Source organism: Homo sapiens, chromosome 15 (genome assembly GCF_000001405.40).
Source record: "Homo sapiens chromosome 15, GRCh38.p14 Primary Assembly".
Classification (NCBI taxonomy): domain Eukaryota; kingdom Metazoa; phylum Chordata; class Mammalia; order Primates; family Hominidae; genus Homo; species Homo sapiens.
Genome location: NC_000015.10, coordinates 71,743,992 through 71,759,001, shown reverse-complemented (window position 1 = coordinate 71,759,001; position 15,010 = coordinate 71,743,992). Strand labels below are relative to the sequence as shown.

General features: G+C 44.2%; 1 protein-coding gene across 10 annotated transcripts in view; it reads right to left on the bottom strand.

Moving 5' to 3' along the window:
• The window catches only part of THSD4 (thrombospondin type 1 domain containing 4), a 686,490-nt gene that overhangs the window by 24,382 nt on the left and 647,098 nt on the right, over positions 1-15,010 (bottom strand). For all 10 annotated transcript variants that reach the window (NM_001394532.1, NM_024817.3, XM_047433080.1 and 7 more), the window contains 4 exons: positions 13,767-13,896; positions 11,960-12,164; positions 10,408-10,581; positions 927-1,100 (listed from right to left, as the gene is read on the bottom strand). In NM_001394532.1, coding sequence (NP_001381461.1) covers positions 927-1,100; positions 10,408-10,581; positions 11,960-12,164; positions 13,767-13,896 — 683 coding nt within the window. The remainder of the gene's footprint in view (positions 1-926; positions 1,101-10,407; positions 10,582-11,959; positions 12,165-13,766; positions 13,897-15,010) is intronic.

Below are 15,010 nucleotides of genomic sequence, written 5' to 3'. Positions count from 1 at the left end.
AAAGGCTGTTTTTTTTCTTTTGTTAATTATTTCCTTAAAATGAATCCCCAGGAGTGGGGTGACTGGGTTAAGGCAAAGGAACATTTTTATGGTTCCTGACTTTTATTGCCAAATTGCTTTCCCAAGGGCTTGTGTCAATTTACAAGGATAAGGCAGTGCATTTTTTTCCAAGGTCAGTTTTTAATGCTACTTAAAAGAAATAAAATTCTATATGGAGCCAGAGGTCTTGATAATGTGTAAATCATGATCATAAGCCAAACAGTCCTTGGAGAACCAGCCAGCCCTGGGAGCCAAATGCTAAGTGGCTCAAGAACTCCAATACTGATGATAATCAAACCAAGGCAGTCATTTCCACATTTTCTTAGTGGGGTTCACGTTCAATTTTGGAAGAGTGAGGGAAAATGTAATTCATCAATTATTAAAGTATTCAGTATTATTTATTCTTCATAATGAACAATTCCAACTTTTAAAATTTCTGCTTCTGATACTGTCAAATACAGAAAAACTGGCTTTATTAACAGGAATAATAGCAGCAGCCACCATTTATTTTGTGTCAGGCACTGTGCTACATACTTTATGTACACAATTTCATTTCTTCTAAAAATAACCTCATAAGGTACCATCACTGCCAGCATTGTATAGATGAGGAAAGCATGCTAGGCCATAAGCCCCCTGAGGGCAGAGATATTTGTGTTGCTCACTGATGTAACCCAAGTACTTAGATGAGCACACCGTAGGTGCTCAATGAATACTGTTGACTGACTGAGGCTCCAGAAATATAAATAGCTTCTCCAGGGTCACAGATAGACAGTGGCACTGCTGGGATTCAAAGCTGGGACACCTGACACAAAGTCCTGGTTCCTAACCCCTCTGGTATGCTGCCTTTTGCCTGACACAGGCAGACATACCCAGTTCTGGCCACTCACCTGACTCCAGCTCCCGGCAAACCACTCCACCTTGCCCGTGCAGGGTCCGTTGTCACATGGGGTGGCCTCTGCCGGCCGGTTGTTCCCACAGCCCTCCAGGGGCAGGCTGCTGACATGGTTGGTCATGCACACCACCGAGCGTGTCCGCACTCCGGCCCCACACTCCGCTGAGCACTGTGAGACAGGGGAAGGGCACATTAGTCAGGAGGCCCTGGCAGCTGCTGAAGCCACTTTCAAATGATGGAAAGGAGGATGGAATGCTTCATTTTCCTGCCGTCTGTTTCCCCTAGAAATATCTGGCAGCTTCTCGTGCATAGCCTACTCCATTATGAGATATCAGTATGGCAATTCTCTGTCTTAGATTTTCTGGGTTGGGCTTCATTCCAAATTCCAAATATCCAATCTTGCCACTGCAATTAATACACTTATACTTGTTAGACTATCCTTCCCAGCTTTTGCTTTCAAAAATATATTCAGCTTGGCCGGGTATTGTGGCTCACGCCTGTGGTACCAGAGCTTTGGGAGGCTGAAGTGGGAGGATCGCTTGAGCCCAGGAGGTTGAGGCTACACTGAGCTATGACTGCACGACTGCACTCCAGCCTGGGCAACAGAGTGAGAAGACCCTGTCTCTAAAAATAAAAATAAAAAAATATATATATATTCAGCTGAAGAAGAATGGGTGCATGAAAACCTGGGCATATTTCTACCTGCTAGTAGCCAAGTCTGGGTTGGAAAAATAGGGGGACTTAAGTCTGTCACCTCAATGTTGCTGCCTGATATTAAGGCAAATTGTTCCAGTCTCTGAAGGTCACAGCTATGAGGGGATTGGGAGACAGCTTGGTATAGAGGGAGAGCTTGGCTTTGGAACCAGGTACATCAGTGTTGATATCCTCACTAGCTGTGCGGCCTGGAGCAAGTGACCCAGCCCCTCCTACCTTTGGCATGCTCATCTAGACAACTGGCATAGAAACACATTTCTGACAGGGCTATGGAGACTGTATAATGTGCTTTGCAGATGGGAGGTGCCCAGTAAATGGTATAAGGGGCTTCAACCCCTACATTCCCACTCCAAGATAGAGAAACTAAGCCTCATAGGGATAAAATCTTCACTTAAAGCCAAATATCTATTAGTGATTTTTCTACTACAATCACACTGTCCTCTCCTAGGATACAGTGAAAACATTCCTGAGTCACAGCCCAAAGCTCATAGAGCATTTTCCATCTGTCTTGCCATACGTTGGAATGTGCCCTTATTTTGGTTCTCATCTTATCGTGTCTTTTCTTTTTTTCGAGACAGGTTCTCGCTTTGTCACCCAGATAGGATTGCATCACCCAGGTGGCGTGATCTCAGCTCACTGCAGCTTCAACCTCTTGGGGTCAAGTGATCCTCCCACCTCAGCCTCCTGAGTAGCTCCAGGTGCTCACGACCATGTCCAGCTAATTTTTGTATTTTTTTGTAGAGACGGGATTTTGCCATGTTGCCCAGGCTGGTCTCAAACTCCTGAGCGCAAGAGATCCGCCTGCCTCGGCCTCCCAAAGTGCTGGGATTACAGGTGTGTGCCACCACACCTAAACTTTATCTTTTCAAACATTTTTGGGGCGTCCTTATCTGGGTGTCCTACAGATACCTTGAATCCAGCATGTACACCTTCACCACCGTTACCATTCCTCCTTTTATTTTTCTGATTTGCTTTCAAGTTTCTACCTGGATTTAAAAGTTGACTATTCTCCTACCCTCTTGCTTCCAACATCTAGACAATCATTAGGTCTCACAGACTCTAGTTCTGCCACATTTCTCTAACCTGTCTTGCCCCTTTCCATCCATGGTTCCCAGCACAGTTTACTTTCTTACCCTGGACTGTGGCTGTAGCTTCTTGCTCAACCTCACCAGCTTTTCCAATGCATTGGGCTGCCAGGTGTTGAGAACTCCATGCTAAAAATTCCCTCTGAAGTTATCCCATTCCTAACAGAAGTCACATATGGACTTCTAGCATTAAGGGTTTTCTATAATATGGCCCCAATTGACCCAATTCTTCTAGACTAATTTCCTATTATCCTATCCCCCATACCTCCTTCTGGACAGACTCAGAGTGGCTATTATTCCCTGATCACATAAAAGGCTCACAGAGCCCTTGCCCCTGTCATTCCCTCCACCCAGAATGCTCTTTCCCTTCACTGGACAGATCAGAAGCCTTTAAGGCTCACCTCAAATACCTTCTCCTCTGTCCTCTGTGAAGACTATCTTGAGTGTCCAATTTAAGATGTTCTTTCAAGCCTTGGAATTCTCATGGCACTCTATGTGCTGCTTCCTGCCTTTGTATTATGGTTATTTGTGTCCTGTCTTTTTTTTTTTTTTTTTTTTTTTTTTTGTCTTTGCTGAAGCAGGCTTGGTGAGAGCAGGAACTAACGAATCATCTCTAATTCTTTCTCAGGTCAGTGTCTTATTCATGAGTAAATCCATGAATATCAGTTGCATATAGACTTGGGCCCTGCCTTGTTCATTTCTCTTATCTATTAGCACTTTCTAATCCTAGACGTGGCCCTTTAGCACATGACCAAAGCCCTTTCTAAGGGTTTCTGGGTCTTTTCTTAAAAATAGAGTCAATGTTTGAGTTCTACCCGTATTATTTTAGAAAATAAAGCAATAGAATTTAAATAAAAATTGAGAAAAGGGAAAAACAATCCTTACAACCTCATTTCCTTATCAAAATTTCCACTTTCATTTTTGTATGCTGACATCTAGTCTTGTAAAATCACATGCCAGCATGAGCGATCAAACATTTACCTTTCCACTGCTAAGCTGGGCTTGACCCCTTAGGGAAGAAACTCCCTCTGGAGCAAAGGGCTTGAAGGGGATCAGAACATGCCACCCCAAAATATGTTGCTTTGGCATGTTGATTATTTTGAGCTGAAGGCTATTGAGAAATAGCAGATGCAGGAAGAGCTCTCTGCCTTCCCCATTTCTGCCTAAAACCAGGGCATAAATTTCCCATGAGAAGGGTGCCCTCCCAGTGCTAGGAAGAAGAGAAGATTCTTATCACTGGAGATGGGGAGTTGACTCCAAGACAAGTCTGCACAAATAAACTTTAATAAAAGGACCCTTATCTTCTGTCAATTTCCCCCATATTTTTCTTAGTCAATTTCTCACAATTTACTGTCCCTAGAAGCCCCAGCCCCTTTCCTTTGTCTAATCACTTCTCCATAGTTTATCACCCTTTGTTAAAATGGTATATAATCCCTCAAGTCTAACTGCTTCTCTGGGGTTGTCACTTCTTTCCTATGAAGCCCCCCATGCCACTACAAAAATATTAACATCAAACAAAATTGGTATGCTTTTTATCTGTTAATCTTTTGTCAGCTTAATTCACAGACTGCAGCCAGAGAACCTAAGAATGCAGAGGAAACATTTTTCCTCCCCTACAGGTTTGCAGACATTTTTCATGTCCTTTGCTATTTTGCTATTTGCATATTTCATGTCCTTTGCTATTTTGCTAGATTGCTATTAGAAATCTGGGACAATGACTCAGTCCTTTAGCTTAAAATTTGTTACAATAATTGGAATATTCTAGGCTAAAGGATTTGTTTGTTTGTTTGTTTGTTTGTTTGTTTCAGCCATGTATGATCTGGTTTTCTTCCTAACTTTAAAACTCAAGACATTTAAATACTCTTGTAAAGAATACAATGTAGGCCAGGTGTGGTGGCTCACACCTGTAATCCCAGCACTTTCGGAGGCTGAGGCAGGTGGATCACCTGAGGTCAGGAGTTTGAGACCAGCCTGGCCAACATAGTGAAACCCCATCTCTACTAAAAATACAAAAATTAACTGGGCATGATGGTGTGCACCTGTAATTCCAGCTACTTGGGAGGCTGAAACAGAAGAATCGCTTGAACCCGGGAGGTGGAGGTTGCAGTGATGCAGTAAGCCGAAATCATGCCACTGTACTCTAGCCTGGGTGACAGAGTGAGACTCCATCTCAAAAAAAAAAAAAAAAAAAAGAATAAAAGGTAAACAGAATTTCAGTTATCTTCATGTTTCCAACCCTTAGGCTACTTGTTTCCAAGTAATTTCCATCTGACTAGCTAACTTAATTTTCTGCTTTCAAAACCAAGTAATGCACATACATTTGGGAAAGTGTCTTCACATCCCCATATACCTAATTTAAAAGAAGAATATGAAGGACCATGCCAGTGCCCAATGGGAGGACATCACATGGATGAGGCCTGTAGAGGAGTTTCATTTTATTACAACACCTTCAGTGAAAAGCCCAACAAGTGTAAACATGAAAGGAGCTCCCCACTCACGACCTGGTCCAGGAAGCCTGTCAGCAGAAGCAAGGGGAAGGAGAAGTCCCTACCAGGGAGTGGGGACTAACCTTCCAGGTGAGGCTCCAAACCACACCCACCCACTGTCCTTAAAGGATGTTCCTAAAAGGACCAAATCTGCTTTGCTAGTCAGAAGAGGACATGACTCGTAATTGAACTTCTGGGCTGATAAAACACAGAAACACATGGAATTCCTAAGCAACCCTCTGGTGGGGACTGCCTTCTCATTCCAGCAACAGTTAAATCCTAAACTTGGCCCAACTGGCCCCTAAGGGACTATAAGGCTGTAATGACTATTCTTGAACTTCAGCTTTATGCATCATTTCTTATAATTTAAATGATTCAGTATTTTTTTCCTGGAAAACTTTCTTAGAAATTAGGTGTTACCAAACTAAGGCTGGTGGACTTTCTAAAAGTGTTTTTTTCCTGTTGTGATTAAAAATTGCACATGGGCTTAAACCTATCATTGATTTGTAGAACTGAAAAGTCAACGATGCTTACTTCTGATAAGGCCCACTCTCAAGTACAAGCAGCTGAAAAGATGTTTTTAAGGTGAGTCATTAAGCCAGAAGAAACTTTGTGTCCCTAGAAGTTTAACAGAAGATTCAGACTGGGGTTACAACCTCAATTCACTTAGGTAAAGATTAATTAATTTTAAATTGGGCAATAAGACACACTCTGTACTCTTAAGTGTTTGCGAACTTTAATTTTCTTTGGTCTCTCCCTCTTGAGCTTATTGAGTCGGAAGCTGTGTCTCGTTCATGACTGGCATGTAACAGGTGCTCAACACGTGTTTATTCCCAGTAATAAAAAATTTCATAGTTCAGACTAAAGCTTAACGAGGCCATTTTCTACACAAAGCAACTATTCAAAAGTGGAAGACTGCCATCCGCTGGTCATTCCAGGGGCTGAACCTTTTCTAAGACCAACTGGTGGCCCAAAGGCCCCTGGTAACACGCAGCTGAAGAAGAATGAAGCAGCCCACAGGAAATCCTTCCCACTGTGCCAACCTCATCTAGGTCATAGCTTCAAATATATTACTGCAGCGGTTACTCAGCAATGTTACAGTTGAAAAAACTGAAGCTCGGTGAATCAGTAGCTGGCTCAGGGTCAAATACGAAATAAGTGATGGTCATGGAGATGATACCAAAGCCAATGTGCGTTTCTTAAACCCAATAGTACTCCCTTCCCACTCATCTACTCTAAAATAAGCATGAACATTTAGAATTCATGATCTATTCTGAGGGTAGATAAGGCAAAAATTATTTACTTACACCATAGCACCCAACTTGCATGATTTAGAACATCTTTTCCAAAACGAACGAAAGAGTTCCCTGAATAGAATAAAGTGCTCATTCTTTGCTCTATTTATAATTTTAAGCCAAGCTAGATTCGGCAAGAACTTATGTTGAAATGCAAAGCAAAATTACTTTAAGGGGAAATCTGCAAGTCATTATTGGAGAGGAAATAGGTAGAGTGGAAATCTTTGGAAAATTTACATGTAGCTTTTTACTGTTCTAAATAAATGTGGGAGACACACAGAGGAATGAACCACTGCAGCTATTTTCCCCACAGAGTTGTTTTTTCTCTGTACGTATTGTGCTCTGTGCCCCCTGCCTTTTCAGAGAGTGGCAAATGTAGAGACATGGAATTTACAAACTAAAGAATCATGGCAACAAAATGACTGTAAAAGCGCTCTCAGTTGCTGCTTGGAAGACTACACCGAAATAATCTTTCTGGAGAACAATTAGCTAAAATGTATTAAGAGTTCAAAAAGCATTCATAATATTTTCCCATAATTTAACATGATTCCACGCCCCCACTATTTTACAGAGATAAGAAGAGGTGCATATAAAGATTTATGCACAAGAACACTTACTGAAGTCTTTTAAAATATTCTGTTTTAAACAGTAAAACATCACCCGTGTATGGAGGCTTATAACTGTAATCCCAGCTACTCAGGAGGCTGAGGAGGGAGGATCACTAGAGCCCAGGAGGTCAAGGCTTCAGTGAGCCATGATTGTGCCACTGCAGTCCAGCCTGGGCAACAGAGCAAGACCTGGTCTCAAAAATAAAAATAAAAATAAAAATAAAAATAAAAACTAGAAAATCCCAAACATTTAGAAATAGGAGATTGTTTCAGTTATATAGTTCTATAGCTTATTATAATAAAAATCATGTTTTAAAGATTTTATGCTTATAATAATTAAGTGAAAAGAGGTGACCAAATTATACATACATTATGATATAAAGATACATTTATATCTTTAAAATACGTATGAGGAAAAAAAGCTATGTAGGTAAAGTATGTATGAGAAGAAAAAACTTGAAGTATAGCTTAATCTCAAATTTTCTTTTGGTGAAGAGGTTTGGAGCATACTTTTCCAAATTTCTCATATTCTTAAAACAATACTGTGTTACTTTTTAACCAGAAAAAAGCCAACATTTTTAAGAAAAAGAATCATTCCAATATAAAAATGAAAGTCCAGCATCATTCTTTTCATCCATTTGCTGATACAGGAAATCCATCAAGTTTACTGAGAACACGAATGAGTTCAGAAACTGAAGCACAAAAGGATTAGTTGAGGAAACTAGATATTTTTAGCCTGGAGAAAGTGGAAGGGGTTCCCCAATGGCTGTAGGGCTGTCCTTTTCTAAAGGACAGTGGGACTTAGTAAGAAACACTTTGGTTAACTGTAAAAGGAGACCTCTTGACACCTTGAGCTGTACAAGAAATAGATGTAATTGTCTGGACACAGGGTGAATTTCTGATAAAGGGTTTGGGCAAGAGCTGTGACCTATGTCAGGGGCACTGCAGAGGATTCCTCATGCTGGCAAGGAGGCTGAGCTCACAAACACCTTCCCCCACTGTTTCCGCAGTACCATGCGCTAATGTTTGGGATGGGAGGCTTGGAAAATAGGGATACACCGAAGAACTAGGATGAGCTCTCCTGGACTCAGCTTTAGGGCAGAAGCTTGAGTCAGTGGCCAGATCAGCACTTACTCTCCATCTGTTTCTCTTTGGTTAGAGCCTCCCAGATGGCCAAATTAGTGTCTGCTCCTGGGACTGGGGGCACAGTCAGATGCTCATCTTGGAAGCTCAGTATTTGCACCAAGGGCTGTCCATCTGGGGCCATCGTGGGCCTAAGGGGCAGGGGCCATATGCCATGAGGTGTGGGGAACACACAAGAAGATGAGCCGCTAGGTAAGAATCTCCAGGACCATCTCTGGAGGTGGAGTGAAGGCTGCATTTGCAGGTTTGTCCTTCCTCTCTTTCTGGATAACACTCCCTGTGGAAGTGGATTGTTATGGTGATAGAGGGACAAAATGAAGGGGCATCTTACACCGCAGAGGGAGAGAAAACCTATGTGAACACCTCTAGGGGTGATATTCAAAATACTCAATAACAGGTGCATGGTGGCCATTGACCGGTCAGAATGGACACTGACCAGTTGGAGTCAGCCAATGTGGCCGTATGGGGCATGTCTGCTGATATCCCCAAACTGCGTGAAAGGGTCCTTCTTTGAGTCTGAGATACTATGGTTGTTGTTCTCATGATGCTGGGAGTGGGGACGGGGTGGGGGCTCATGGGCTGCATCGTGTCTCCTAAGATCCAAGAACATGGCTGGGCTCCTCTGTCTTTTTTATGGCCTTGTTATTCAGAGTGTGGTCCTTGGACCAGTGGCCTCAGAGACCCTGGGAACCTATTAGAAATGTAGGCTGTGGCCAGGCACAGTGGCTCATGCCTACAATTCCAGGGCTTCGGGAGGCCGAGGTGGCAGATCACTTGAGCCCAGGAGTTTGAGACCAGCTTGGGCAACATGGTGAAACCACAAACAAATACAAAAAATTAGCCGGGGTGGTGGCGCGCACCTATAGTCCCACCTACGTTGGCGGGAGGGGGGCAGGGGGTGCTGAGGCAGGAGGATTGCTTGATCCCAGCAGGTCGAGGCTGCAGTGAGCTGAGATTGCACCACTGCACTCCAGCCCGGGCAATAGAATGAGACCCGGTCTCAAAATAAATAAATAAATAAATAAATAAATAAATAAATAAAAATTTAAAAATATAAAAATATTAAAAAAAAGAAAGAAAATAAATGTAGAATCCCTGGCTCCTCCCCACACCTGCTGCCTCAGACCTACACTTTAATGCGGTTCACAGGTAACGTGTACGCACGGGATTCTAGCAAGGGAAGTGGGGCAGAACTAGTGTATCCGAGAGGTAGGCCGCTAACCAAGGTCAGAGATAGCCAATCATGTCCTCATCCCAGGTAAACTCCCTAGATCTCCTAGAGAATCCAGAATCTGGACTTGGTGCCTCTCACAGCTGTGCAGCTGCCCTGGGCAAACCCTCTGACTGGCCATCCCATGCCCGCCAATGCGCCGATCCCACCAGGAAAGGAAGCACAATTCCTTATCTCCTTCCTCTTTTCTTCTCCCTGTCCCAAGGTATGTTCTACAATTTGTTTAGTGTCTTTTCTCAAACTTCATTTTTGATTGTGGTAGAATACACATAGCATGAAATTGACCATCGTAACCACTTTTAAGCCCACACCTCCAGGGCATTAGGTGCATTCATGCTGTTGTGTAACCAACATCACTCCATCTGCAGAAACCCCTTTTCATATAAATCCTCCTTTTGCCTTTGATGGATGAATTTAATATATGACTGTTTTCCCTTATATCCAGGTAACTGGTGGGCTAATGGTTGACTATATATGCCTTTGAGTTATTCTTTGACACCTGAGACTTCCCATGGGAGGCCAGGCTACTGGGGAGGGAACGGGGTGTGGGATGTTTTGAGTTGGCAAAAAGCAGTAGAGGGGCCTGCCATTGCTGAGTGTCTATGAGACACCAGGCACTTACAAGACATATGAACGATGGGATGTAATGATTCACTTCACCTAGTATTATGGAGTGACCACATGGAGTGCTAAGGAGAATTCAATCAAGTTTTGCATACACCCTCCTCACCTTTGGAGACCCTCAGTCCTCACATAAGGATAGAAAGCCTACGATAATTCCTCTCTGGGCCTTTTTTTTCCCCCCAGAGCCAGAAATCAGTCTTGGGATTCTGAGCTAGTGACTCATCTTTGTGTGGTTTTGGAGGCACCTGGCAGACCTCGGTCCCCGGCGCTCTGCCCGCCATCACACTCACCCTTTCGCTCCACTCGGTGAGGAACCAGCTCTTGGCACAGGGTCCCATGTCGCAGTTCTCAATGTCATTCGGCCGGAGCTTCATGTTGCATTCCTCATCGTCAACCACATCCCCAATGTTGCTCACACACTTCACATCACGGGTCCTCTGTCCCACGCCGCAGGGCACCGAGCACTGAAACACAGCACACTGACGTCAGGGGAACCAGCAGCTTCAGCTCTGGGAGAGAATTGCCAGTATGGAGCCCGCAGCCTTTGTGATCAGCCCCATGAGACTGAGGCTCTGTCATGCATGTCACCAGCTGGGGCAGGGATCTGAGCCCTAGAAAACTCCACAACCCTTTTCTACAAGACCTTCTTAGATGCCTCGCCTACTGTAAACTAAAAATAAAATCCTAAGCCTCCCAGCTGACTGAATGGGCCTCCTCTTGGCCAAGGAGACCCCCAGAGAAACCTTAAAAATGGATTTCCTGGCCATGACAGGATGGAAGGTTGGACACACCCTGTCATACCACCTCCGTTTTGCAGTCTAGACACAACCGACCAGCACTGATGTTAAGGGAGAAATCATAAGACTGACAGAATGGACTCTCTGTGGCAATAAGATACCAAATTATAAACAGGACCCAACGCCATGGCAGGCAAGGGGTTAAGTCATGCACCTCTGCCCTTGAAGAATAAACTATGTTCTAAGTTGCCTGGGAAGAAGGTCTTAGGATTCATGGCTTACATCCTGTTTAGAGTAAAGAATATTATTGTCAGTTCCTCAAATCTTATTGTGAATTCTTCAAACTGTTGACATACTGATTAATACGTAACCTGTGGACATTGAAGAGGACACTGGTTTGTTTGGTTTGTTTCTGAGTCATAAAGTTTTGCTGATTTATTTCTGACTCATGAAGTTTTATTGACTGTCTTGCACTTAAAACATTTTAGCCTGTATGTCGTCATCTGTAGCCAGTGATTGCAACCTCTGTGCTGTACCCTCCAATGAAAAAGACAACTCCGATTCAAGGGGTCCCCGTCTCCTCTCCTAAACTTTCTTCTAAAAGCCTTTCAACTTGTAACAGACTTTGGAACATGTCCAACGTTGTTCGTGTGTCTTCTTGGGCTGATCCTTACATTGGCTTCCAATAAATCTTTTATCAAATTATTTCTGCCTTAACAGCCTTAATTTTGACTGACACTACTCTATTCTTCCAGGCCTCAGTCTTTTCAGCTATAAAATGGGTAGGGAAAATTGGAAGGAGTTGGCTCTACCAGCAGTTGCCAACCTTCACTTCACCATGACTCACAAAGCAGATGAGGCCAGTATCAGAGGGCTCCCCCTGGGCTCACTCATAAAGTTGGCTGTGGGTGGCACACACTACCCTGAACTCTATTGAACTATTGGTACATCCTGTGGTTTGCAAAAACAGCCGTCCAGACCCCCACGGGACGGGTTCCCTCCTGTGGAACTCAGGGTTACCCATCTCAGGTCTTGGTGGGGGAGGCTGGAAAGTGTGGTGGGAGCTGGAGAGGGAGCTGCAGAGCGGGCTGCCCTGCCTGCGTACCGAGGTCCAGTCGGTCCGGATCTGCCACTCGCTGCAGATCTTGAGTTGGCAGGTGCTGGTGGTCTCAGGTTTCTCCAGGTGCTGGCAGCGGTAGGGCTGCACCGTCAGGCTGCGGTTGGCGTACACCTGGCGGCACAGAACCTGGCGGTGCTGCATGCCCAGGCCACAGGTCTTGCTGCACTCAGACCACTCCCCGATGTCCCAGCTGGTTCAGGAATGAGAGAGCGAGAGTGAGAGACAACCTTCAGTCAACAGGAAGTCAGCGTGAGCCCGCAGCAGCGTACACAGAATCATCAGAATCACTATGGGTAGAGTTTCTTACTAGAGCATTGCTTGAAAGTCAGCCTAGGCTGGGCACAGTGGCGCACGCCTGTAATCCCAGCACTTTGGGAAGCTGAGGTGGGAGGATGGCTTGAGCCCAGGAGTTCGAGACCAGCCTGGGCAACATGGCAAAACCCCGTCTCTACAAAAAATACCAAAGTTAGCTGGGTGTGGTGGTGTGTGCCTGTAGTCCCAGCTACTCGGGAGGCTGAGGTCAGGGGATGGCTTGAGCCTGGGAGATTGAGGCTGCAGTGAGCCATGATTGTGCCACTGCACTCCAGCCTGGGCAATGGAGTAGGACCCTGTCTCAAAAAAAGAAAAGAAAAAGAAAAAGAAAAAGTCTGCCTAAGGGTCATCTGACTCTGTAAAGGCAGATAAATTTGCCTGACACTTGACATGCTATTTACCAGTGATTAGGGCCCAGATTCTATGAAAAGTTATAGAAAACTGAAAACGTACAAATGATTTTTATCTAATTAAAAAAAAAACCTCCAAAGGTTAGTTTTATTACACTGTAGATCATTAACTCATTTTTGCTACTAACTTAGGAATCTTATTCTAGCATTATTTTTCATTAACAATTCCCGTATCAGTTTTGCAAACCCTCCTCTGTCATCTGCTCTGTTATTAGTTAAATGAGACATCAGCCCATGCTCACCATATACTTGGATGAGAATTATATTTTTATTACTCTGCAAATTAGGTTTTGACCCTTTTAGGGCCCTTTCCCCTTGTTCTTCTTCAAGTGTCCCATTTATCATTCAATAACCAGTTCAAGGCCAGGCGCAGTGGCTCACGCCCGTAATCCCAGCACTTTGGGAGGCTGAGGTGGGCAGACCATTAGTGCTCAGGAGTTCAAGACCAGCCTGGCCAACATGGCAAAACCCTGTCCCTACAAAAAATACAAAAATTAGCCAGGCGTGGTAATGTGCACCTGTAGTCCCAGCTACTCGGGAGGCTGATGCAGGAGAATTGCTTGAATCCAGGAGGCGGAGTTTGCTGAGATCGTGCCACTGCAATCTGGCCTGGGCAACAGAGCTAGACTCTGCCATAAAAACAAAAACAAAACCAAAAAACCGAAACAGTTCAAGACCTCTCCCGAGACACTTTTCTTGGCCTCTCCAGGCTGATGTTTTTGTGACTTGCATTATCCTCTCTCTGTGAACAGCTCACCTACGACACCAACTACACTGGCTTCTCGTTTTTTGCTTCCTCCTTTGTTTTCCTTACCAGGCTCAAACCTAATTGCTCCAGCTTTGTCAAGGGTGGGCTTCCCAGAAGTGGGTTGACTTGCTAAAGGCTATCAGCTCCTGAGTTCATCCTGAAAGACAGGTGTGCCTGCTAAACAGACTGCATTTTATGCATGGTCCAAGTCTTGTATTTCTAACTCAGATTTAGACTGACTTATATCTGTTCCTAAGGTCCTGTGCATAAGTGACCTGAAGTGACCCGGTAATAGGCGACCTAAATGGAGGGGCCTTCTTACAAGGCTGGGCAAGGGAAGATGTTGCAGGGCTCCTCCTCGGGGGTCGGCTTCATGCTGGAGTCACAGTAACTCTCAGGAGCCTCTTCATGAGTGCTTCTGTGCACACAGCGGAAAATAGGGTACTGCGATCCTGCAACAACAGGAGAATGTCTGAAGGACAGTCCCACACACTGGAAAGCTGGGCTATGGGTGGAGATGCACAGAGATTCGGGTGCTGATGAAGAGAGGGCACAGAAACAGTGAGGACAATTCACACATGCATGCACACTTACGCTCCCCCTTCATTTGAGGGTTTACACACACCTACCTCACAGGTCTTTGCTAGGAACTGTGGGGGTGCAAAGAAGAGCCTGCCCTAAAAGGAATCAATAATCTATTTGTGGACACGGTCTAAATATGCTCAAAGGCAGATACAAAGCATCTTCATTATAGTTCAAGATAACAAAAGAGAGATTCCCTAGGCAGGGGAATGATTATAGAAGGAACACAAATAGTAACTTTTCTAAAGTTCTCTGGAAGCGTCAAAGAGAAAGTGTCCTAAATGGGCCAAGCTTCGTTCTAGAGAAAGAATTGGGTTTGGGTAGATATGTGCATGTATATTTTGGAGGGAGGAGGCTGTCTAGGTCATTAAACTGGAATGAAAGTACCTGCCTGACAAACTAGCCTGCTACACCAGGTACATTTAAGGGATAGGTTGAAGCACAGAAGTAGAAGATTCAAGAAAGGGCGGAAGAGCAGCTGCCTCCCCCTTTGGCAAGCGTCTTTCATGTTCTTCTAATAAAGTACCCATCCAATGGTATTTCAGTGATCTGAGCATTTGTCTACTTCCCATGAGACCGTGAGCTTCTGAGGGACAGGGCTACTTCTTAATCTCTGTAGCCCCAGTACCTAGGAGAGTAGCAGGGGCTCAATAAATGACCGTGTTGAATGAATGTTTGAATGGTGTTGAATGAATGTTTATAACTGTTTTAGGTTTTTTGTTTTACTTTCATTGGATTAATAAGGATACATCTATTTTCGATAAAAAGCCAGAATTTGTTAAATGGAATGTCTAGGTGTCAATTAAAAAAAAAAAAAAAAAAAAAAAAGCTGATTCAATTCTGCCTTCCTTTCTCTGCTGCCACCTGGTGGCAACACTGAGCTATTATTAATGGACGTTTATAACGTGAGAAATGTAACCCCTGAACCTGAACCAACCACGGGAAGATGCTTCTTCACAAATAACTGTCTTCCCCACAGTCCAG